The sequence below is a fragment of the Homo sapiens genome, chromosome X (assembly GCF_000001405.40).
Source record: "Homo sapiens chromosome X, GRCh38.p14 Primary Assembly".
NCBI classification, from domain to species: domain Eukaryota; kingdom Metazoa; phylum Chordata; class Mammalia; order Primates; family Hominidae; genus Homo; species Homo sapiens.
The window spans coordinates 154,939,585-154,965,681 of record NC_000023.11 but is presented as its reverse complement, the minus strand read 5'-3'; the positions used below and the strand labels follow the sequence as shown (position 1 = coordinate 154,965,681).

At 38.2% G+C, this 26,097-nt stretch overlaps 1 protein-coding gene across 1 annotated transcript in view; it reads left to right on the top strand.

Moving 5' to 3' along the window:
- Positions 1-26,097, top strand: part of F8 (coagulation factor VIII) — a 186,932-nt gene that overhangs the window by 57,042 nt on the left and 103,793 nt on the right. Inside the window, exons 10-13 of the mRNA NM_000132.4 lie at positions 4,514-4,607; positions 8,511-8,725; positions 11,640-11,790; positions 17,775-17,984. Of these exons, the coding sequence (NP_000123.1) occupies positions 4,514-4,607; positions 8,511-8,725; positions 11,640-11,790; positions 17,775-17,984 (670 nt within the window). The remainder of the gene's footprint in view (positions 1-4,513; positions 4,608-8,510; positions 8,726-11,639; positions 11,791-17,774; positions 17,985-26,097) is intronic.

The window sequence follows — 26,097 nt, the reverse complement described above, 5'->3', positions numbered from 1 at the left end:
TATGGCCTGTGAACCAAATTTGGCTTGTGGCCTGCTTTTGAACAGTCCATGAGCTTAGATGAGATTTTACATTTTTAAAATATTGCAAAGAAAAGAAAGGAGGATGGGAGGAAGGGGAGGAGAAGGCGGAGGAGCAAGAGAATATGTGACAGAGGCTAGATAGGGCTCACAAATTTTAGAGTACTTACTATCCAGCCTTTTCCAAAAAATGCTTGCTTGCTCCTGATCTAGGATATTAAGAATGAGTATGGTGTAAGTAACAGAATACTCAATGGACAGTGGTTTAAATAAATAAGGGTTTATTTTCTTCACAAGAAATTTGAAGATTGGTCGTTGGTTCCATAAATTCAGCCGCTGAAGAATGTCATGAAGAACACTGGTTTTTAGATATGGAGTTTTGTTAGATACTGCCAAACTGACTTTCAGCAATTTTGTACCAATTTATATCCCCTACCATAAGTATATGACTGCCCTTTTCCCCACACCATTGCCAACAACATATATTATAAACCTTCAGAAAATTTTCCAATTTGATGAGCAAAATGTTTATATGTTGTCTTCATTTGCATTTCCCTGGTTAGTGGTCAAATTGTATATTGTTTCATGTTTGTTGGCTATTTGTATAACTCCCTCTGTGAATTGCCTGCTTGTAAATTTTGTCCAGTTTTCTATTTGGTCAGTCATCTTTTGCTTATGTATTTGTAAAAGGTCTTTATAGATTATGGATATTGACACATTGTTATTTATCTTTCAAATGTTTTCCTCACATTGTCACTTGTACTTTAACTCCTTTATGATATTTTTTGTCCTTCAAAGATTTTTCATCTTTATATAGTCAAAACCTCCTATCTTTTATCAATCTTTTCATTTATATGTCTCTGGATCTTTTTCACTTATGTTTTCTGCCTGAGAATGTCTTTGCCACCCCCAAGACACTACAAAAATAGTCTATATTTTATTCTCTTACTTGTATAGCTTTATTTTTACAGTGAGCAATCTAATTGCCCTGGAAGTTACTTTTGAATGTAGTGCATAATTCAAATAGAAATTTTCCCAAATGGCAGCTGACACAACCAATCCTTTTTTCATTAATTTGAAAATGTCTTCTTTATCATATACTAAATTGCTAAAATCTGGGATTTTTAATTCTCCTTAACTAATCTGTTACCACCCTGTTTTAATGACTTCAACTTTGTGATATGTTTGATATCTGTATGACATCTTCTTTCATTGTACTTCTTCAAAATTTTTATTAGCTATTATTGTACAATTTTTCTTCATAAATTTTGTGTACGTATTTTTTCTATTTTTCATTTTTTGAAGATTGTATAATTTTATTTTTTATTCATTAATTTTTAAAATGCATAATGACACAATAATTTTACATATTTATAGGGTACTTTTTGTGTATTTTGAGTTACTTTTACTGGCTAATTTAAAAATAGATAAACAAGAGCATGCAATAAAATGTAAATTTTCCTCCCTCTTGGACTTCCAACCCCATAGTCTGACAGACAGTCATTGCTGTGGGTTTGTATACTCCCCTCCAGAAGTAGTGCATACATGTACAAATGTGTGTGTGTATGTGTGTGTGTGTGTGCATTTCACACAAAAACAAGAGCAGTGTAAATTGGTCTGTACCTTGATTTTTAAAAGGTAACAATATATTTTGAATTAGCCAGGCATGGTGGCACATGCCTGTAGTCCCAGCTACTCTGGAGGCTGAGGCAGGAGAATCGCTCGAATCTGGGAGGCGGAGGTTGCAGTGAGCTGAGATCGCACCACTGCACTCCACCCTGGGCAACAGAGTGAGACTCTGTCTCAAAAAAAAAAAAAGTAACAATATATTTTGGATATCATTTCATGTCAACATATATAGATCTACCCCATTCTTTGATTTATTCAGGTTATACTCTGGATACCATGCTGAATCCTACACTTAAACATTACCTCAAAATGGATCAAAGATAAAATGTAAGAGCTAAAACTACAAAATTATAAGAAAACAACAGGATAAATCTTTGTGATCTTGAATTAGACAATAGTTTATTGGATAGGACACCAAAACCAACAAGCAACAAAAGAAAAACCATTTGACCCAGCCATCCCATTACTAGGTATATACCCAAAGGAATATAAATCATGCTGCTATAAAGACACATGCACACGTATGTTTATTGCGGCACTACTCACAATAGCAAAGACTTGGAACCAACCCAAATATCCAACAATGATAGACTGATTAAGAAAATGTGGCACATATACACCATGGAATACTATGCAGCCATAAAAAATGTCCCCGTTTGCAGATGACATGATTGTATATCTAGAAAACACCATTGTCTCAGCCCAAAATCTCCTTAAGCTGATAAGCAACTTCAGCAAAGTCTCAGGATACAAAATCAATGTGCAAAAATCACAAACATTCTTATACACCAATAACAGACAGAGAGCCAAATCATGAGTGAACTCCCATTCACAATTGCTTCAAAGAGAATAAAATACCTAGGAATCCAACTTACAAGGGATATGAAGGACCTCTTCAAGGAGACCTACAAACCACTGCTCAACGAAATAAAAGAGGACACAAACAAATGGAAGAACATTCCATGCTCATGGATAGGAAGAATGACTGGGTTTTAAGACAAGAGCAGAAGTGGAAGTTGCATTTTTATCCTCATATCACACACCTCAGATCTGGAGGTGGGATTGATATTTTCAGGGTTCTTCGCTGCAGCTTCCATGTTATTGCTCTTCCATTCTCTCTCTCTCTCTCTCTCTCTCTCTCGTCTCTGTCTCTCTCTCTCTCTCTTGAGATAGGGTCTCATTCTGTCACCCAGGCTGGAGTGCTGTGGTGTGATCACAGCTCACTACTGCAGCCTCAACTTCCTGGGCTGAAGTGATCCTCCCACCTCAGCCTCCCAAGTAGCTGGTACTATAGGCATGCACCACCACGCCTAGCTAATTTTTTTATTTTTTGTAGAGATGAGGTCTCACTGTGTTACCCAGGCTGGTCTTGAAGTCCTGGGCTCAAACGATCCTCCTGCCTCAGCCTCCCAAAGTGCTGGCATGAGCCACTGCACCTAGGCCTTTGTTTTCTTTTAAAGCTGGTGCAATCAGGCAATACCACCTGCTACCCTTGCTTAATACTGTAATCAACTGTCCTCTTGGTCATGCCTGCTCATGCACTGAAGATTTTATCTCCTGAAACACTGTCTCTTTCTCTATTATCAGTGAATTTAATGCCCAAATAGTAATAAAGGCTGAGAGGAAGCAGTGTCCTCACCAGGCATCTAAATTTCAATTAGTGTGAGAAGGTGCAGAGAATACTTCCTGAAGCAATTGAAACAATTTTTAAAGAAGTGGAAAGGGGCCTTTAGAGAGAAACCTAAGTACTGTCAGCCCTCTACATTGTCAACTGAAGAATCCTAAGTTTGTAAATTTGGAGTGGAAAGGGTTGCAGGCTGGGAAGTGTAGCCTCTGGCAGCAAATGGAAGCAAGCACTTTGAAGAAGGAAGGATGAGATAAGAATTTATGCTGAATGAGTTGGCTAAGTATACATATTTAACAGGTTCCAGGAGGAGCTGTGAATATTTATGATGGGGCACCTGCAACCACACATGTTACATACATTCCATGTTCACTTTGGGGTGGAGACTTAACATTTAGATGCATGAAAATTAGGCTGTATATGTCAAAAGATGAAACAGAGGACACAGAGGCAGCCTCTGTAAACTGGCCAGAGCCAGTCCATGGTCAGTGGTCTCTCATCAGGAAGCAATGCTTCTCGGTTGTTATGATAAAACTGCACAAAGGGAGGGGAATCCACCACGTCTTTAGAAAGGACTGGTTTATGTTTAACCCTTAAGAAAGAAAGTCTAACGGCAGATTAGGGAGGGAGGGAATGTAACAAGGCATGCCCGATCTCCCATCCCATCATGGTCAGAAACTCAGTTTTTAAGCCATCTCTGGGGTCTCCTTGGCCGAGAAAGGGGTCTCTTCAGTCGTTTGGGGATGCTTAAGATTTTATTTTTATTTTTCAGTATCACTGGATTTCTAGTCTCATATTCAAACAACCATTGATTGAAAGTATTCAAAAAACAACCCCAAAACAATAAAAGATAATAATACAACAATAAACAATAATACAAAGAAACAATACGGTAAAACAACTATTTACATAGCATTTATGTTATATTATGTACTGTAAGAAATCTAGAGACGAGTTAAAGTACATGAGAGGATGTGCATATGTTATATGCAAATACTACATCATTTTGAGTAAGAGACTTGAGCATCACAGATTGTGGTATCTGCAGGGGTCCTGGAACCAATCCTCCATGCATGCCAAGGAACAATTTCATGAAAAGACCAAATATTTTGAGTTTTATCTAGCCTCAAATTACTATAATGTAGATAGAGGCCACTTTTATTTATCTGGAGTTAGACCACAGTTTTCTTGTTGATCCTAGTCGTTTTAGGATTTGATCTTAGATCTCGCTTATACTTTCAGATTATATTTAAGAATCAAGCAAGCAGACCATATAACATCTACCCTCACGGAATCACTGATGTCCGTCCTTTGTATTCAAGGAGATTACCAAAAGGTAAATATTCCCTCGATTTATAGCTCTTTTTTACCTGTAGATACAGATGAGATAAATATCATCAATAACAACTAAAATTATGTTGGTCCTTTCTCCAGCTGTTGGCCGGACCTCAAGCTCCAGTCTAAAGTTATAAAAATCAATTATAGGAATCCTCAGGTGATGTTTCATGTAAATTCGTGAAGAGTCGCCTGACATGTTTTTCCTATTACCTAGCGGTGATGTTCAAATATTCCACAGCCAATTAGATTCCACTGCAATTGGTTCCACTGCAACTACTGTAAATGCCCTAAAATCTTGAAGCTGGTTCTTCTGGCACTTAAGATAATTTTTTTTTCTGAGTACGGTTTTCAGCTACATTCCACACTTTTGGTATCTAGTGTGGTATTCCACACTTTGGGTAACTAGTTTGATATTTTCAGGATTCTTTGCTGCAGCTTCCATGTTATTGCTCTTCCTTGCTCTCTCTCTCTCTCTCTCTCAACAGGGTTTCACTCTCACTTTTGGTATCTAGTTTGATATTTTCAGGGTTCTTCGCATATTCATTTCTAAATAGTTCACAACTCCAGTTTTTATTTACTATATTGTTTGCTGTTTAAAGATTTATTTTTTCTTTTAGTAGATTGGATGTTATGTATATTCTTTCTATTATTTAATTTTGGATGAATATTTATCAAAATAATAGATGTGTATGCTTAAAACTACAAAAGGGCTGCCTCCCTAGAGGCATCCATTTTTAAGAATTTCTGTTTTTGATTTTTGGTGGTTATCTCTACATCTCTAAAAAGTTACTTATACTGCTAACTCTTTGTTTTTCAACTTTAGACATTATATACTTACTTTGTTTTGTGCTTTTTTCCATTCAAGTTGTTTCAGTTTTATCAGTGTTTTCAGTTGGATTGGCTATCATTAGAACTTTAAAAATATACTAAACATCAACTTTTAGTAAGATATTTTCCAATCATGGATTGAAAATATCTTTTGACTCCATACTTCATAAATTAAGGATATTAAAAACTGTACCCCTCACTTTTCCTTTCCCCAAACCTTTCTTTTCTCTACTGCTGCTAGCCATTCCTTTACTTTTACAAAACTAAACTTGATAACATTTACATTTTGTGCTGTAATTTGAAATAACTCTTCCTTGCTTTGTCTATATATTTTCTCTAAAGCTTAAAAAATTAAAAAACAGCATTTGTATTATTTTAGTATTTTAGCAAGTTTCTTTTCATAAATGTTAACTGCAGAACTGGGTAATATGCTATGATTGCTCTCTTTTCTACAGCTCAAGTGATTTTACTATTAAGATAAAATAATATGTGGAAGGAAAAAAGTTGATCTCATAGAAGTAGAGATAAAATAGTGGTTACTAGAGGCTAAAGAGGGGAAGGGGAGGGGGAAATAGGGAGACGTTGGTTAATGGATGCAAAATTCCAGCTAGATAGGAGGCATAAGTCCTAATGTTCTATAGCACTGTAGGGTGACTGTAGTCAACAATGACATCTATTTTCAAATAGCTAGATGAGAGGATTTGGAATGTTCCCAACACAAAGGTGTATCCTGAAGTAAGACTTTGTTTTCTTTTATTCGGAAAAGAAATGTAGGCTTCTTCAACCCTATTTCTTAGGCCTTTCAGCTTCTTAATCATTCTATGTATTGCTTGCTATCCAAATCTTTTATTTTTTTTTTGAGACAGCGTCTCGCTCTGTCACCCAGGCTGGAGTACAGTGGCACGATCTTGGCTCACTGCAACCTCTGCCTCCCAGGCTCAGGCTATCCTCCCACTTCAGCCTCCTGAGTAGTTGGGACCACAGACGCACACTACCATGCCCAGCTAATTTTTTTTATTATTTTTATTTTTTGTAGAAATGGGGTGTTAACTTGTTGCCCAGACTGGTGTCGAACTCCTGAGCTCAAGCGATCTGCCTGCCTCAGCCTCCCAAAGTGCTGGAACCAAATCTTTTTCTTCTTAAAGACATTCTTGTAGTGAATAGCATTAACTACTTTTCCCTTGTACATTTCTATTTTTTGATTTCTTCTTTTGTTTTTCTGGAAGTATATTCTCAAGTAACTTCTAAATATGTGGTACATAGAGGGTGAACTTTCTGAATCCTTCAGTATCACATGATGGGCAGACAGACTGGTTATAAAAATTTTCCCGCTGGGTGCGGTGGCTCACGCCTGTAATCCCAGCACTTTGGGAGGCCGAGGCGGGCAGATCACTTGAGGTCAGGAGTTCAAGACCAGCTTGGCCAACATGGTGAAAACCCATCTCTACTAAAAATACAAAAAAAATAGCCGGGCATTGTGGCGTGTGCCTGTAATCCCAGCTACTCAGGAGGCTGAGGCAGGAGAATTGCTTGAAACTGGGAGGTGAAGGTTGCAGTGAGCCAAGATCACCCCACTGCACTCCAGCCTGGGCAACAGAGCAAGACTGCATCTCAAAAAAAATTCCTTCCCCTGTTTTCTAATATTCATTATTGCCGATAAGAATTCTTTATTTGCATTTCTTTATGGAAGAATGGCATAGTGACAGAGTTCTGGGGAGATTTTGAATGTGTGTCCCGAAATTTGGAGGCATACGTGGATAGTTACTGGTAACCTGCTTTTCCATGGAGAATTTTGAAGGCTGTAATGCCCATAATAGTGGGCAAGAAGAGAGGGCAAGAGTGGAGCAGTTTACCTTCCTGCTGTTTGACATGAGTTTATTCTGTAACAAGTGAATACTGTTGAAAGTAGCTGGGCTTTATCCCTTTTGAAGATATTCTACCCAAGAAGGCAGTTAGGCAGGCTGAGGGGATAGCAGAACCAATAGAGTCTTGGATATATCACTGGAAGTAAGAAGAGCTGATGGGGAGAGGAGAGTTGCAGAAGGATAGCTGAAAGAAACATCTCTCATGTCATGGAACTATGTAATGCTGAGGTCCCCATGGTAACTCTAAAGAAACCATACATGTGTCCTATGAAAAGACCAGCATTTGGGCACCTCCCACACAGAGAACATTGATGACCAAATAGTGTTGTCAAAGATAGAGCAGCAGGACCTGTTAAACAAGAGTCTGTTTGCCCTTTCTTCTATTACCTACCCTCCCTCACCCCCAGCTCCTGGAAAAGGGAAGAGAAGGCTCAGAAATATTGAAAGAACATACTACACCATTCCCTTTCTTTCTTTCTTTCTTTTTTTTTTTTTTTTGGAGACAGAGTCTCGCTCTATCCCCCAGGCTGGAGTGCATTGGCATGATATCGGCTCAACCTCTGCCTCCCAGGTTCAAGCAATTCTCATGCCTCAGCCTCCCAAGTAGCTGGGATTACAAGTGCCTGCCACCACACCTGGCTAATTTTTGTATTTTTAGTAGAGATGGCGTTTCACCATGTTGACCAGGCTGGTCTCGAACTCCTCACCTCAACACCATTCCCTTTCTATGGATCCTCTAACCATAGGTCAGGCATAACTTACTGAGGTGAGGAAGAGCTTAGAATGAATATAAAATTAAAATTTTGATTTAGATTGTATCTTCAGGTATGAAACATACCCAGAATGAGACTTAATTACTAAAATCAGTTCTTGTCCTGAGGACCCATTACCCTGAGGGCAGATCTCAGTTCTTGCTCCCTTTCCTCACAGAAGTCAGAGACTACACCTTAAAACTCCAATGCCAAGCTCTTTGGCATATATTCAGGCCTGACACTTTCACAGTCAACCGGATAATCAATTACAGCTTTTTACTTTTTAAAAAAATTGTTTGAATCTTAAAATTATAATAGGTGCGACTTTAGCTTCCACTTGCTCAGAAACTTCATATGTACATACAGATTTGTAGAACCCTTGCAACAACAACATGATTATCAATATGTGGCTTGTTGTACTCTAATTGAGCTATTTATGGTTTTGCTTGTGGGTAGGTGTAAAACATTTGAAGGATTTTCCAATTCTGCCAGGAGAAATATTCAAATATAAATGGACAGTGACTGTAGAAGATGGGCCAACTAAATCAGATCCTCGGTGCCTGACCCGCTATTACTCTAGTTTCGTTAATATGGAGAGAGATCTAGCTTCAGGACTCATTGGCCCTCTCCTCATCTGCTACAAAGAATCTGTAGATCAAAGAGGAAACCAGGTGAGTTCTTGCCTTTCCAAGTGCTGGGTTTCATTCTCAGTGTATGTCCCCTTATAACCTGAAGAAAATATAATGGTTTGCAATATAGGTCAGTAAAAGAAATGAGCTTAGCTTTTACTAAATTTGAGTTTCACGTAGTAAACGTGCCTGCTGGATGGATAGGCCATAGAATGTAGGCCCTAGATTTTTCCTATAGTACTCATTCCCAGTCTGGGATTTAGCTCTCTCTAGCTGATCCTCCCCATTTTTATATGTCCAATTACCACCTATTTTCAGATGACCCACAGATTTATATCTACAGCCTAGATTTCTTCCATGGACATCTCATTATGGGTGACTCAAAAGTACCTCAAAATTAACATGTCTGCAGCATGTAGCACTGTTGCAGGAAGTCAGGGACCCCGAACAGAGGGACTGGCTGAAGCCACGGCAGAAGAACATAAATTGTGAAGATTTCGTGGACATTTATTAGTTCCCCAAATTAATACTTTTATAATTTCTTACGCCTGTCTTTACTGCGATCTCTGAACATAAATTGTGAAGATTTCATGGACATTTATCACTTCCCCAACCAATACTCTTATAATTTCCTATGCCTGTCTTTACTTTAATCTCTTAATCCTGTCATCTTCATAAGCTGAGGATGTATGTTGCCTCAAGACCCTGTGATGATTGCGTTATCTGCACAAATTGTTTGTAAAGCTTGTGTGTTTGAACAATATGAAATCTGGGCACCTTGAAAAGAACAGGATAACAGCGATTTCCAGGGAACAAGGGAGATAACCATAAAGTCTGACTGCCTGCAGGGCCAGGCAGAACAGAGTCATATTTCTCTTCTTGCAAAAGCGAATAGGAGAAATATCACTGAATTCTTTTTCTCAGCAAGGAACAGCCCTGGGAAAAGAATGCATTCCCAGGGGGAGGCCTCTAAAATGGCCGCTCTGGGAGTGTTTATCTTATGCAGTTGAAGATAAGGGATAAAATATGCCCTGGTCTCCTGCAGTGCCCCCAGGCTTGCTAGGATTAGGAAATTCCAGCCTGGTGAATTCTAGTCAGACCAGTTCTCTGCTCTTGAACCCTGTTTCCTGTTAAGATGTTTATCAATGACAATGCATGCACAGCAGGACATGGAACCTCATTAGTAATTCTAATTTCGCCCTACCTTGTGATCTTGCTCTGTCCCTATTTGCCTTGTGATATTTTATTGCCTTTGAATCATGTGATCTTTGTGACCCACACCCTATTCGTACACTCCCTCCCCTTTGAAAATCACTAATAAAAACTTGCTGGTTTTGCGGCTTGGGGGCATCACAGAACCTGCCGACATGTGATGTCACCCCTGGAGACCCAGCTGTAAAATTTCTCTCTTTTGTACTCTTTCTCTTTATTTCCCAGACCGGCCGACACTTAGGTAAAATAGAAAAGAACCTATGTTGAAATATTGGGGGCTAGTTCCCACAATATAGCACAGTGCATCTCACTTAGTAAGAGCTTAATAGGCTACGTGCGGTGGCTCACGCCTGTAATCTCAGCACTTTGGGAGGCCGAGACAGGAGGATTGCTTGAGCTCAGGATTTCAAGACCATCCTGGGCAAAATAGTAAGACCTTGTCTACAAAAAAAAAAAAAAAAAAAAAAAATTAGCTGGGCATGGTGGTGTGTGCCTGTAGTCCCACCTACTCAGGAGGCTGAGGTGGGAAGATAGCTTGAGCCCAGGAGGTCGAGGCTGCAGTGAGCCTGGATGACAAAGCGACACCCTGTCTCAAAAAAAAAAAAAAAAAAAAAAAAAAAAGCTTAATAAATACTTTTGGGCAAAACATAGGGAAAGATATAAAATATTTCAAAATATGGCTAGAATTTGGACCATTTCTACTGCTTTAAAAAATAAAGCTAAATTCTCTGAACAAGAAAAGCTTAGTTCTTCACAAAAACTCATTGCTCGGCCCCAGAATAACTCAGTGCCATATTGCTGAGGCTTGACTACATGTCCATTTGATTATATTTATGATACATAAGATCCCTACTAGTCTGAAAACATTTCATATGTTTAGAGAGTAAAGTATATGAACTTTGGTGCCAATAAAACACATGGCACATAAACTCAGAGAAGTATAAATTTTGCCAAGTACTTGTCCTGACCGATTTTTCCTAACTATAGTTTTTTCGTCACTTTTGGGAAGAGAACTGAAATATTATTCTATATTCTCCAATCTCCTCTCTTCAGTATTTTGGTTTATATAGCTATAGGTTATAAAAAATGAGGTTTATACATATTAGTGAGGTTTACATATGAAATCTTAGCAGATCCAATTAGCAAGCGACTAATTCATAAATCTGGTTCATATACAAAATGCTCTTCTGAAAAAAATTTGAATGTTTTAAACAGAAAATTTAAGGTATTAGTGTTGTTTGACATTTTTGTGGTTCACCTTATCTTTCTTATTTGATTTCTGTTTTTCTATTTTTAATTTTTTATAGCCTTGTGGAAGGTCAGTTGCTAGATGGAAGTTTAGGAAAGTCAGTATCTCATTTGACTTAACTAACTTAAGAAAGGCACTGAATAACCACTTGGTTCTTTAAGGAGTTAAATCTTCTAATCTGAACATGAAGAGAATAAGGCTACAGACTGTACCAAATAAATCAGCTAGCATATGGCCTTGGGTGCAGAAAAAACTAAGTTCAGTGGGATCAGTCACCCTCTTGTCCTGGGGACACATTTGTTGTAAGCATATACTCACTGCTCATAGCACCCACCCTCAACTCCCAAGCCCTGGTACATGCCTAAGAGGAAATGGAATTAAACCAATGGATTAGATATATCACATGCATGCCATCGCTTTCATCATAGACTGCTAGCTCCTACCTGACAACATCAGTAGCATTTCTTTACCCCTTTCAATATATGTAATTAACAGATAATGTCAGACAAGAGGAATGTCATCCTGTTTTCTGTATTTGATGAGAACCGAAGCTGGTACCTCACAGAGAATATACAACGCTTTCTCCCCAATCCAGCTGGAGTGCAGCTTGAGGATCCAGAGTTCCAAGCCTCCAACATCATGCACAGTGAGTAAAGCAGCACTTAAGTCCAGTGGGTGGTGAATAAAGAAAAATTGATGTAATCAAAGTGATGTCCAGATAATGAATGAATTGTATGTGCACATAAATTTAACAATTATGTTACCTATAAATGTATAATTTTTACTCAAACACACGTGATCATATAACCCATATTTTAAAAATCCAGTCACCATTTTTTCCTTTCAATATTTACTTGATTTCCCTCTCCCTTTTAATTCCCTATCTCCTTCTATATTACATCTTTTCACCAACCATTCCATGCCCAGGTAACATATTTTAAGACATATTTTCTCTATAATTATATAATCATATATAAACACATACATACATTGTATTAGTCTTCTAGTGCTGCCATAACAAAGTACTGCAGACTGGGTGGCTTAACCAGCAGATATCTATTGTCTTACAACTCTGGAGGCTTGAGATCAGGATGTGGGCAACGTTGGTTTCTTCTGAGGCTTCTCTCCTTGTCTTGTAGATGGCTTTCTCCCTTGTCTTCACATGGTTTCTCCTTTATATATCTTTGTCCTAATCTCCTCTTCTAATAAAGATACCAGTATTGTTGGGCTAGGGCCCACCGTAATGACCTTATTTTAACTAACTACCTATTTAAAAACACTATCTCCAGGTATAGTCACATGCTGAGGTACTGGGGTTTAGGACTGCAAGGTATAAATTTGGGATGGGGGAACACAATTCAGCCCATTGCATACATACACATGTGTATATATTTATATATACCACAAATCTGAATGGTCAAAAATATGGTAAAAAATTCCAATTGCACTATCCTACAGGGAAATGCGAAATAGAATAACAATAGGATAGCACTTTATACCCATCAAACTGCCAAAATTATAATTACTAGTGGGCTTGTGGATAAAAGAGTGTTCTCATGCTATATTAGTGGATAAGTAGTATAGTCTTTTCAAAACCAATATATGCCTTTTGAAATTCTGATTATTAAGATGTTTAAGATGGAGTGAGCCACATTTCCCTGTGTGTCCCACTGGATGCAACTAAAAATCCTGAACAGGCCGGGCACAGTGGCTCACGCCTGTAATCCCAGCACTTTGGGAGGCCGAGGCAGGCGGATCACGAGGTCAGGAGATCGAGACCATCCTGGCTAACATAGTGAAACCCCGTCTCTACTAAAAATACAAAAAATTAGCCGGGCATGGTGGCGGCCGCCTGTAGTCCCAGCTACTCAGGAGGCTGAGGCAGGAGAATGGCGTGAACCCGGAAGGCGGAGACTGCAGTGAGCCAAGATCGTGCCACTGCACTCCAGGCCGGCGACAGAGTGAGACTCCGTTTCAAAAAAAAAAAAAAAAAATCCTGAACGAAATGCATGGGAACCTTGAAAAGTTATAATGTGAGTTATACTCACCTACCAGAATGTGGCATATGTTACAATTCTATGCCCCTCCTCTCAAAGCTTTAGCCCTTTAACTTTGGGTTGAGCCTCATATTTAGCTTGAATTTCTAGTAATAGTGATATATTATTCTCCAGAGTTAAAGTCCTTTACTATCCATTATTCTAAAAATTTTAAGGTTGTTTAGTCCTTTGAGTTGCATTTTTATTTTTTACATAGTTCAGGGTATTGCTTTCCTTCTGAAGGATTCAGATTTCACATTTGTGCAAGAGTCTAATGCTTAGTATTTAATTCTAGTGGCACAGAGCTTTTTCTTTTCTCCCTCTTCTCTCCAGCCTCATGGCTTTGGTTTAGAATTCCTTCAGCCTGATAGAATATTGTATTTTATAATTTCCTTATTGTGCTATTTACTAGATATTTGTTCTTCTATTTTTTTCTATTCATAATTTCTCCCTTTCCCACCACATCTTTTTCCAAGTAGGATGTGCACTTGCCACAGTATCTGGACAGTTAAACTGTCTCATTTTCTTGGAGACGGTGATGAAAACTAGAGAGATATAGTGACATAAGCAGAGCCAGAAAACAATTTCACTGAAGATGATATATATTTTTTTTCCTCTGGGATTTCTAATATAGCTTTTGGTGGAGATAAGAGTCTGGAATTGAGAAAGAAGAGATTGGAATTGAGAAAAAGAGTCTGAGAAAGCACAGGGAGAGACACAAAGGCAGAGACCAAGAGACACAGGGGAAGGATCTTCAGAGGAAGAGTCCAGGGAGAAAGATGCTAAGACAGAGGGATAAGAAAAGAAGAAAAAAAAGGACCAGGAGGAGAGAGACCCAAACCATAAATCACTCCTATTTCCATTAGCAGTAAAATTGATAATCTATTTTCATACAATGAAATACCATGTGACAATGAAGATTCACAAAAATAAAGCTATACACAACAATATGAATAAGTATCACAAAGACAATTTTTAGTAAAATGGTAAGTGTCAAAAGAATATATACAGTATTATATTATTTACATAAAGTTCAAAAATGGGCAAAATTAACTTATATAGTTTAGGGATACAGAGGAAGAAAAGTATAAAGGTTAGTAAGGACATGATTATAATAAAAGACAAGATAGTGGCTACCTCTTAGAAAGAGTTCATTTGAGAATAAACACATGTGTTTTGTGGGGATAGCAGCAATATTGTATTTCATGACCTAGATGTTTGTTTTATAATTTTGTGTTTTAAAAAATTGTAGGATTTATGATTTATTTCGTAGATGGATCCTACAAATGATAGGGAAATTGCAGTAGGAATGAAGAGGAAGGAACATGTACAGGATTTGTTTAGAAGATAGAAGGCACATGATTTTGTAAATAATTAGCTATGTTTGGTAAAGGACTAAGAGGATTCAAAGATGATTACCAAATTTCTGATATGGGTAACTAGAAGAAGAGTGAGACAAAATGGAAGAAAGTGTATTTAAAGAAATGATAGCAAAAACTTTCCAAATCTGGAGAAAGATGTAAATATCCACGTACAAGAAGCTCAAAGATCTCTAGTCAGATTAGATTCAAACAAGACTATATGAAGACACGTTACAATCAAACTGTCAAATATCAAAGACAAAGAGAGAATCCTGAAAGCAACAACAAAAAAGAAGCAAACCACATACAAGGAAATTCCAATAAGGCAGAAACTTTACAGGTCAGAAGAGGGTGGGATGATATATTCCGAGTACTGGGAAAACTTTACCTAGAAAATGTTTCCTTCAGAAATGCAGAGAGATAAAGACTTTGCCACACAATTCCAGTTAGACAAGAGAAATAAATTAAAGACATCTATTGTACACTATGGTGACTACAGTTAATAAATTACCCATTCCAATATATACATATATAAACATTGTGATGTACATCATAATATATTCTATTTTTCCCTGTCAATTAAAAAATAAATTTAAAAAGATTGGATAGAGAAGAATCAGCCATTCTAGTAATTAAGCCTGAGGAAGCTTACATTCCAGTGATTTCAGATAACCATTATGCAAGTTAAGGAATAAACTGGATAGGATGATATTAAAAAAACAAAACCACCAATGAGATACACCAGAATGGCTAAAATTAAAAAGGCTGTCCATACCAAGTATTGGTAAAGATGTAGAGTAATGAGAACTCTCATAAATTTCTGGTCAGGAAATCCAAACATCGAAAGCCAAACATCGGCATACCCTATTGACTCAGGAAATCCACTCCTAGTATACACCTGTTATGTCCTGAATCATGTCCCCTAGAATTAATATGCTGAAGCCCTAACACTAGTATTTCAGAATGTGACTGTATTTGGAGATAGGGTCTTTAAGGGGTTTATTAAGTTAAAATGAGGTTGTTACAATGGGCCCTAATCCAATATGACTAGTGTCCTTATAAGAAGAGGAAATGTGGGCCAGGCACAGTGGCTCACGCCTGTAATCCCAGCATTTTGGGAGGCCAAGGCGGGCGGATCACGAGGTCAAGAGATCGAGACCATCCTGGCCAACATGGTGAAACCCCATCTCTACTGAAAATACAAAAATTAGCTGGACATGGTGGCGAGCTCCTGTAGTCCCAGCTACTCGGGAGACTGAGGCAGAAGATTGCTTGAACCCAGGAGGTGGAGGTTGCAGTGAGCAGAGATCACGCCACTGCACTCCAGACTGGCAGACAGACCGAGACTCCATTTGAAAAAAAAAAAGAAGAGGAAATGTGTACACACAGAGACACCAGGGATGCATATTCACAGAGGAAAGACCAAGCCAAGGAGAGGTGTCAGTAAAAACCAAACCTGCCAATACCTTGATCTTGGAATTTTAGTGTTCAAAACTGTGAGAAAACACATTCCTGTTATTTACACCTCCCAGTCTGTGGTATATTGTTATGGCAACCCTAGCCACTAGTACAGCACCCAAAAGTAGTGTGTACATATTTCACAAAAGACATGTAACTATTTAATCCATGTGGAGTGTCAAAAGGCAAAAATACAACAAATGTATTTTAAAGATTGTAATTGGCTTTTATACATGATTCTAGAATCAGATAGCCCTCAGAACCAAATACAGAACAGCAGCCAGCAACATAGTATGGATAGAAATTGGAAGTGAGGTTTAGAGACAGCTTAATTGATTACAGTTGGGCATTTTTGCCTTATTTGAAGCTGTTAGTCGCCTGCAATTGATGGAAGTTCAGCTGCTATAATCGGCTGAGACTGAGCTGTTTGTTATAAAAGCATATTCCTAAATTAGGCTTTCAGTTAGTTCATCAACTAAGCCAGGCTGCAACTTTGTTGTGCAAGGACTCAAGTGCAAAGGTACCCTTAGGCAAAATTCAGATTAATTTAAAAGGACTTTACTTTTGTTAGTTATGTGAAATGAAGTGGAATCTATTTTTTCCAAGTGGATAGTCATATTTTCTATTATCATTTACCAACTAGCTGATTTTTTTCCTGTACTGGTTGGAGATGCTGCCTTTATTATATATTAAGTTTCAACTTATTATATATTAAGTTTCCGCTTACATCTTGTCAGTTTCTGGACTCCATATTTTGTTTGATATATTTATCTATTCTGCATTAAGACTGCATTTTTAATTATAATAGCTTTATAATATCTCAATGTTGTATAGGAAAAAAACTTCAATTATTAATTAGTTATACTAAGCCAATGTCTAAGTATTGCTTAGTGGTTTGTGGGCAACCATCTTACACAGTACCTAGTAACAGAGTAGACAAGTGTTTATTGAATGGATGGATGAATGGATGTGTGGAAGAGGCTTTCAGAAACAATTCCCTTCATAGACTAAGGCCAATGTTACTTTTGCTTAGCTCTTTAGTTTGAAATAATTTAAAATGTACAGAAAAGTTACAAGAATAATACATGGAACTTGCACACACCCTTTACCCAGATTCACAAATGTTTAACATTTTGCAATTTTGTTTTTCATTTTCTTTTCTTTATATACACACTTCTGTTACTTATTTTCTATTTGAAAATTAGTTGCAGACATCACATCCCTTTACCTCTCAATACTTTAGTACACATTTCCTGTGAATAAAGATATCTTTTACATAACAGACACTTCAAATTGATAAAGCACATTTCCATAATTTACAACTGGTATTCCAGTTGTATCAACCAATGCTGTCATTTATAGCATTTTCTTCTTTGAAGTACAGGGATCTAGTACAAGTAACTACTTGTCCTGCTTCTTTCATTTCCTTGAATCTGGACCTTCATCAGATGGTAACTTTAAGCACCCAAAGGTTTTTTTCTGGTTTCTCCTCTGTGTAGTTTAAGACCATGCAAACATCTTGCTACTCATCAAAATGCCCCCCATATAACATCCAAATTAATCTTTATCATGATGGTTTATGACTGTCTCCTCACATTGGGATTGGGGCCCAACTGATTATTAACAATCTACTTTTTTGGAAGATATAATATCTCTTCCTGGGAATAAGATAATGGGCATAACATATAATAATTCCTAATTGTATCATGACAATCACAATCCAAAATACTAAATCTGTGATGTGTCTAAATCTCTTTTCCCCATTGTTTTTGCAGGCATCAATGGCTATGTTTTTGATAGTTTGCAGTTGTCAGTTTGTTTGCATGAGGTGGCATACTGGTACATTCTAAGCATTGGAGCACAGACTGACTTCCTTTCTGTCTTCTTCTCTGGATATACCTTCAAACACAAAATGGTCTATGAAGACACACTCACCCTATTCCCATTCTCAGGAGAAACTGTCTTCATGTCGATGGAAAACCCAGGTTAGTTATTATATTTTTCTTGTACCAACAGCTGTGAATGCTTCACTAGCCATTCGTATGCTCTTTTGCCCACTAGCTCACATGCTGTCATTTATAGCATTTTCTTCCTTGAGGTACAGGGATCTAGTTTCTCCTCTGAGTAGTTATTATTTTCACCCTTGCAACTAATAAACAGTTTGAAGGATCACGTAGTAGTTCTATTTTTAGTTTTTTGAGGAACCTCCTTACTCTTTTCCACAGTATTTGTACTTATTTACACTCCCACCAACAGTGTACAAGCATTCCCCTTTTGCCACATCCTCACCAGCATTTTTTAATTATTTTGTCTTTTTGATAAAAGCCATTTAACTGGAGTGAAATATCTCATTGTGCTTTTGGTTTGCATTTCTCTGGTAATTAGTGATGTTGAGCAGTTTTTCATATACTTGTTGGCCATTTGTATGTCTTCTTTTTTTTTTTTTTTTTTTTTTTTTCAGACGGAGTCTCGCTCTGTAGCCCAGGCTGGAGTGCGGTGGCACGATCTCGGCTCACTGCAAGCTCCGCCACCCGGGTTCACGCCATTCTCCTGCCTCAGCCTCCCGAGTAGCTGGGACTACAGGTGCCCGCCACCACACCCAGCTAATTTTTTGTATTTTTAGTAGAGACAGGGTTTCACCGTGTTAGCCAGGATGGTCTCGATTTCCTGACCTCGTGATCCACCCGCCTCGGCCTCCCAAAGTGCTGGGATTACAGGCGTGAGCCACCGTGCCCAGCCTGAATGTCTTCTTTTGAGAAATGTCTATTCAGATCTTTGTCCATTTTTAATAGGGTTCTTTGTTTTTTTTGCTATTGACTAGAGTTTCTTATATATTCTGGTTATTAATGCCCTCTCAGTTGTATAGTTTGCAAATATTTCATCCCATCCTATAAATTGTCTCTTCACTTTGTTAATTGTTTCCTTTGCTGTCCAGAAGCTTTATGGCTTGATATAATCCCATTTGTCTACTTTTGCTTTAGTCCCCTGTGCTTTTGAGGTCTTACCTGCAAAATCTTTCCCAGACCAATGTCCTGGCGCATTCCCCCAATGTTTTCTTCCAGTAGTTTCATACTTTCAGGTTGTATATTTTAGTCTCTAATCCATTTTGATTTGATTTTTGTATATAGTGAGAGATAGGGGTATAGTTTCATTCTTCTGCATGTGGATATCCAGTTTTCCCACACCATTTATTGAAGAGACTATTCTTTCACCAGTGCGTGTTCTTGGCACTTTGTCAAAGGTGAGTTGGCTATAAATGTGTGGATTTATTTCTGGGTTTTCTGTCGTGTTCCACTGGCATATATTTCTGGTTTTATGCCAGTACCGTGCTGTTTTTGTTACTACAGCTTTGTAGTATAGTTTCAAGTCAAGTAGTGTCATGCCTCCAGCTTTGTTCATTTTGCTCCAGATTATTTAGCTGTTTGGAGTCTTTTGTGGTTCCACACAAATTTTAAGATTCTTTTTTCTATTTCTGTGAAAAACTTCACTGGCATTTGGATAGGTATTACATTAAATCTGGTAGCATTGATATTTTAACAATATTAGTTTTTCCAGCCCATTAAAATGGGATAGATACCTTTTCAGTTTTTTGTGTGTTCTTCAATTCCCTTTATCAGTATTTTAGTTTTCATTATAGAGATATCTCAGCTCTTTGGTTTAATTTATTCCAATATATTTATTTTTATTATAGCTATTGTAAATGATTTTTAAAAAATTTCTTTTTAGGTTGTTAGCTCTTGGTATATAGAAATGCTACTGATTTTTGCATGTTGGTTTTGTATCCTGCAACTTTACTGAATTTGTTTATCAGTTCTAATAGTTTTTTGATGGAGTCTTTAGTTTTTTGTGAAATATAAGATTATGTCATCTATAAACAAGGAGAATTTGACTTCTTCCTTTCCAATTTGGGTACCCTTTATTTCTTTCTCTTGCTTACTTGTTCTGGCTTGGACTTCCAGGACTACATTTTATAGAATTGGTGAAAGTGGGCATCCTTATCTTGTTTCAGATCTTAAAGGAAAGGCTTTTGGTTTTCCACATTTGGTATGATATTAGCCGTAGTTTGTCATATATGGCATTTATTGTTTTGAGGTAAGCTTTCTATACCCAGTTTGTTTAGAGTTTTCTCATGAAGGGATGTTGAATTTAATCTTTTTGGCATCAATTGAAATGATCATTTGTTTTTGTCCTTCATTCTGTTGATATGATGTATCACATTGATTCATTTCCATATGTTGAACCATCCTTGCATCCCTGGGATGAATCCCCCTTGATCATGATGAATGATCTTTTACTGTGTTGTTGAATTTGGTTTGCTAGTAGTTCGTTGAGGATTTTTGCATCAATGTTCATCAGAGATATTGGCCTGTAGTTTCTTTTTGTGTATGTGTGTGTCTTTGTCTGGTTTGGTTTCAGGGTAATACTGGCCTTGTGGAATCAGTTTGGAAGTATTTTTCCCCCTTGATTTTTGGGATAGTTTGTGAAGAGCTGGTATTAGTTCTTTTTTTTTATTATTATACATTAAGTTTTAGGGTACATGTGCACAATGTGCAGGTTAGTTACATATGTATACATGTGCCATGCTGGTGTGCTGTACCCATTAACTCGTCATTTAGCATTAGGTATATCGCCTAATGCTATCCCTCTCCCCTTCCCCCACCCCACAACAGTCCCCAGAGTGTGATGTTCCCCTTCCTGTGTCCATGTGTTCTCATTGTTCAATTCCCACCTATGAGTGAGAATATGCAGTGTTTGGTTTTTTGTTCTTGCGATCGTTTACTGAGAATGATGATTTCCAATTTCATCCATGTCCCTACAAAGGACATGAACTCATCATTTTTATGGCGGCATAGTATTCCATGGTGTATATGTGCCACATTTTCTTACTCCAGTCTATCATTGTTGGACATTTGGGTTGGTTCCAAGTCTTTGCTATTGTGAATACTGCCGCTATAAACATACGTGTGCATGTGTCTCTATAGCAGCATGATTTATAGTCCTTTGGGTATATACCCAGTAATGGGATGGCTGGGTCAAATGGTATTTCTAGTTCTAGATCCCTGAGGAATCGCCACACTGACTTCCACAATGGTTGAACTAGTTTACAGTCCCACCAACATTGTAAAAGTGTTCCTATTTCTCCACATCCTCTCCAGCACCTGTTGTTTCCTGACTTTTTAATGATCGCCATTCTAACTGGTGTGAGATGGTATCTCACTGTGGTTTTGATTTGCATTTCTCTGATGGCCAGTGATGGTGAGCATTTTTTCATGTGTTTTTTGGCTGCATAAATGTCTTCTTTTGTGAAGTGTCTGTTCATGTCCTTCGCCCACTTTTTGATGGGGTTGTTTGTTTTTTTCTTGTAAATTTGTTTGAGTTCATTGTAGATTCTGGATATTAGCCCTTTGTCAGATGAGTAGGTTGCGAAAATTTTCTCCCATTTTGTAGGTTGCCTGTTCACTCTGATGGTAGTTTCTTTTGCTGTGCAGAAGCTCTTTAGTTTAATTAGTTCCCATTTGTCAATTTTGGCTTTTGTTGCCATTGCTTTTGGTGTTTTAGACATGAAGTCCTTGCACATGCCTATGTCCTGAATGGTATTGCCTAGGTTTTCTTCTAGGGTTTTTATGGTTTTAGGTCTAACGTTTAAGTCTTTAATCCATCTTGAATTAATTTTAGTATAAGGTGTAAGGAAGGGTTCCAGTTTCAGCTTTCTACATATGGCTAGCCAGTTTTCCCAGCACCATTTATTAAATAGGGAATCCTTTCCCCACTGCTTATTTTTCTCAGGCTTGTCAAAGATCAGGTAGTTGTAGATGCGTGGCGTTATTTCTGAGGGCTCTGTTCTGTTCCATTGGTCTATATCTCTGTTTTGGTACCAGTACCATGCTGTTTTGGTTACTGTAGCCTTGTAGCATAGTTTGAAGTCAGGGAGCGTGATGCCTCCAGCTTTGTTCATTAGGCTTAGGATTGACTTGGCGATGCGGGCTCTTTTTTGGTTTCATATGAACTTTAAAGTAGTTTTTTCCAATTCTGTGAAGAAAGTCATTGGTAGCTTGATGGGGATGGCATTGAATCTATAAATTACATTGGGCAGTATGGCCATTTTCATGATATTGATTCTTCCTACCCATGAGCATGGAATAGTCTTCCATTTGTTTGTATCCTCTTTTATTTCCTTGAGCAGTGGTTTGTAGTTCTCCTTGAAGAGGTCCTTCACATCCGTTGTAAGTTGTATTCCTAGGTATTTTATTCTCTTTGAAGCAATTGTGAATGGGAGTTCGCTTATGATTTGGCTCTCTGTTTGCCTGTTATTGGTGTATAAGAATGCTTGTGATTTTTGTACATTGATTTTGTATCCTGAGGCTTTGCTGAAGTTGCTTATCAGCTTAAGGAGATTTTGGGCTGAGACAATGGGGTTTTCTAGATATACAATCCTGACATCTGCAAACAGGGACAATTTGACTTCCTCTTTTCCTAATTGAATACACTTTATTTCCTTCTCCTGCCTAATTGCCCTGGCCAGAACTTCCAACACTATGTTGAATAGGAAAGGTGAGAGAAGGCATCCCTGTCTTGTGCCAGTTTTCAAAGGGAATGCTTCCAGTTTTTGCCCATTCAGTATGATATTGGCTGTGGGTTTGCCATAGATAGCTCTTATTATTTTGAGATACGTCCCATCAATACCAAATTTATTGAGAGTTTTTAGCATGAAGGGTTGTTGAATTTTGTCAAAGGCCTTTTCTGCATCTATTGAGATAATCATGTGGTTTTTGTCTTTGGTTCTGTTTATATGCTGGATTACATTTATTGATTTGCATATATTGAACCAGCCTTGCATCCCAGGGATGAAGCCCACTTGATCATGGTGGATAAGCTTTTTGATGTGCTGCTGGATTCGGTTTGCCAGTATTTTATTGAGGATTTTTGCATCAATGTTCATCAAGGATATTGGTCTAAAATTCTCTTTTTTGGTTTTGTCTCTGCCCGGCTTTGGTATCAGGATGATGCTGGCCTCATAAAATGAGTTCAGGAGGATTCCCTCTTTTTCTATTGATTGGAATAGTTTCAGAAGGAATGGTACCAATTCCTCCTTCTACCTCTGGTAGAATTTGGCTGTGAATCCATCTGGTCCTGGACTCTTTTCGGTTGGTAAGCTATTGATTATTGCCACAATTTCAGAGCCTGTTATTGGTCTATTCAGAGATTCAACTTCTTCCTGGTTTAGTCTTGGGAGGGTGTATGTGTCGAGGAATTTATCCATTTCTTCTAGATTTTCTAGTTTATTTGCGTAGAGGTGTTTGTAGTATTCTCTGATGGTAGTTTGTATTTCTGTGGGATTGGTGGTGATATCCCCTTTATCATTTTTTATTGCATCTATTTGATTCTTCTCTCTTTTCTTCTTTATTAGTCTTGCTAGCGGTCTATCAATTCTGTTGATCCTTTCAAAAAACCAGCTCCTGGATTCATTAATTTTTTGAAGGGTTTTTTGTGTCTCTATTTCCTTCAGTTCTGCTCTGATTTTAGTTATTTCTTGCCTTCTGCTAGCTTTTGAATGTGTTTGCTCTTGCTTTTCTAGTTCTTTTAATTGTGATGTTAGGGTGTCAATTTTGGATCTTTCCTGCTTTCTCTTGTGGGCATTTAGTGCTATAAATTTCCATCTACACACTGCTTTGAATGTGTCCCAGAGATTCTGGTATGTTGTGTCTTTGTTCTCATTGGTTTCAAAGAACATCTTTATTTCTGCCTTCATTTCGTTATGTACCCAGTAGTCATTCAGGAGCAGGTTGTTCAGTTTCCATGTAGTTGAGCGGTTTTGAGTGAGTTTCTTAATCCTGAGTTCTAGTTTGATTGCACTGTGGTCTGAGAGACAGTTTGTTATAATTTCTGTTGTTTTACATTTGCTGAGGAGAGCTTTACTTCCAACTATGTGGTCAATTTTGGAATAGGTGTGGTGTGGTGCTGAAAAAAATGTATATTCTGTTGATTTGGGGTGGAGAGTTCTGTGGATGTCTATTAGGTCCGCTTGGTGCAGAGCTGAGTTCAATTCCTGAGTATCCTTGTTAACTTTCTGTCTCGTTGATCTGTCTAATGTTGACAGTGGGGTGTTAAAGTCTCCCATTATTATTGTGTGGGAGTCTAAGTCTCTTTGTAGGTCACTCAGGACTTGCTTTATGAAACTGGGTGCTCCTGTATTGGGTGCATATATATTTAGGATAGTTAGCTCTTCTTGTTGAATTGATCCCTTTACCATTATGTAATGGCCTTCTTTGTCTCTTTTGATCTTTGTTGGTTTAAAGTCTGTTCTATCAGAGACTAGGATTGCAACCCCTGCCTTTTTTTGTTTTCCACTTGCTTGGTAGATCTTCCTCCATCCTTTTATTTTGAGGCTATGTGTGTTTCTGCACGTGAGATGGGTTTCCTGAATACAGCACACTGATGGGTCTTGACTCTTTATCCAATTTGCCAGTCTGTGTCTTTTAATTGGAGCATTTAGTCCATTTACATTTAAAGTTAATATTGTTATGTGTGAATTTGATCTTGTCATTTTGATGTTAGCTGGTTATTTTGCTCGTTAGTTGATTCAGTTTCTTCCTAGCATTGATGGTCTTTACAATTTGGCATGATTTTGCAGTGGCTGGTACTGGTTGCTCCTTTCCATGTTTAGTGCTTCCTTCAGAAGCTCTCTTAGGTCAGGCCTGGTGGTGACAAAATCTCTCAGCATTTGCTTGTCTGTAAAGGATTTTATTTCTCCTTCACTTATGAAGCTTAGTTTGGCTGGATATGAAATTCTGGGTTGAAAATTCTTTTCTTTAAGAATGTTGAATGTTGGCCCCCACTCTCTTCTGGCTTGTAGAGTTTCTGCCGAAAGATCAGCTGTTAGTCTGATGGGCTTCCCTTTGTGGGTAACCCGACCTTTCTGTCTGGCTGTCCTTAACATTTTTTCCTTCATTTCAACTTTGGTGAATCTGACAATTATATGTCTTGGAGTTGCTCTTCTCAAGGAGTATCTTTGTGGCATTCTCTGTATTTCCTGAATTTGAATGTTGGCCTGCCTTGCTAGATTTGGCAAGTTCTCTTGGATAATACCCTGCAGAGTGTTTTCCAACTTGGTTCCATTCTCCCCATCACTTTCAGGTACACCAATCAGTTGTAGATTTGGTCTTTTCACATAGTCCCGTATTTCTTGGAGGCTTCGTTTGTTTCTTTTTATTCTTTTTTCTCTAAACTTATCTTCACACTTCATTTTATTCATTTCATCTTCCATTGCTGATACCCTTTCTTCCAGTTGATCGCATTGGTTACTGAGGCTTGTGCATTCATCACATAGTTCTCGTGCCGTGGTTTTCAGCTCCATCAGGTCCTTTAACCACTTCTCTGCATTGGTTATTCTAGTTGTCCATTCGTCTAATTTTTTTTCAAAGTTTATAACTTCTTTGCCATTGGTTCGAACTTCTTCCTTTAGCTCGGAGTAGTTTGATCTTCTGAAGCCTTCCTCTCTCAACTCATCAAAGTCATTCTCCATCCAGCTTTGTTCCATTGCTGGTGAGGAGCTGCATTCCTTTGGAGGAGGGGAGGTGCTCTGATTCTTAGAGTTTTTGGTTTTTCTGCTCTGTTTTTTCCCCATCTTTGTGGTTTTATCTACCTTTGGTCTTTGATGATGGTGACGTACAGATGGGTTTTCGGTGTGGATGTCCTTTCTGTTTGTTAGTTTTCCTTCTAACAGTCAGGACCCTCAGCTGCAGGTCTGTTGGAGTTTGCTGGAGGTCCACTCCAGACCCTGTTTGCCTGGGTATCAGCAGCAGAGGCTGCAGAACAGCAGATATTGGTGAACTGCAAATGCTGCTGCCTGATCATTCCTCTGGAAGTTTTGTCTCAGAGGAGTAGCTGGCCATGTGAGGTGTCAGTCTGCCCCTACTGGGGGGTGCCTCCCAGTTAGGCTACTCAGGATTCAGGGACCCACTTGAGGAGGCAGTCTGCCCGTTCTCAGATCTCAAGCTGCGTGCTGGGAGAACCACTACTCTCTTCAAAGCTGTCAGACAGGGACATTTAAGTCTGCAGAGGTTATTGCTGTCTTTTGTTTGTCTGTGCCCTGCCCGC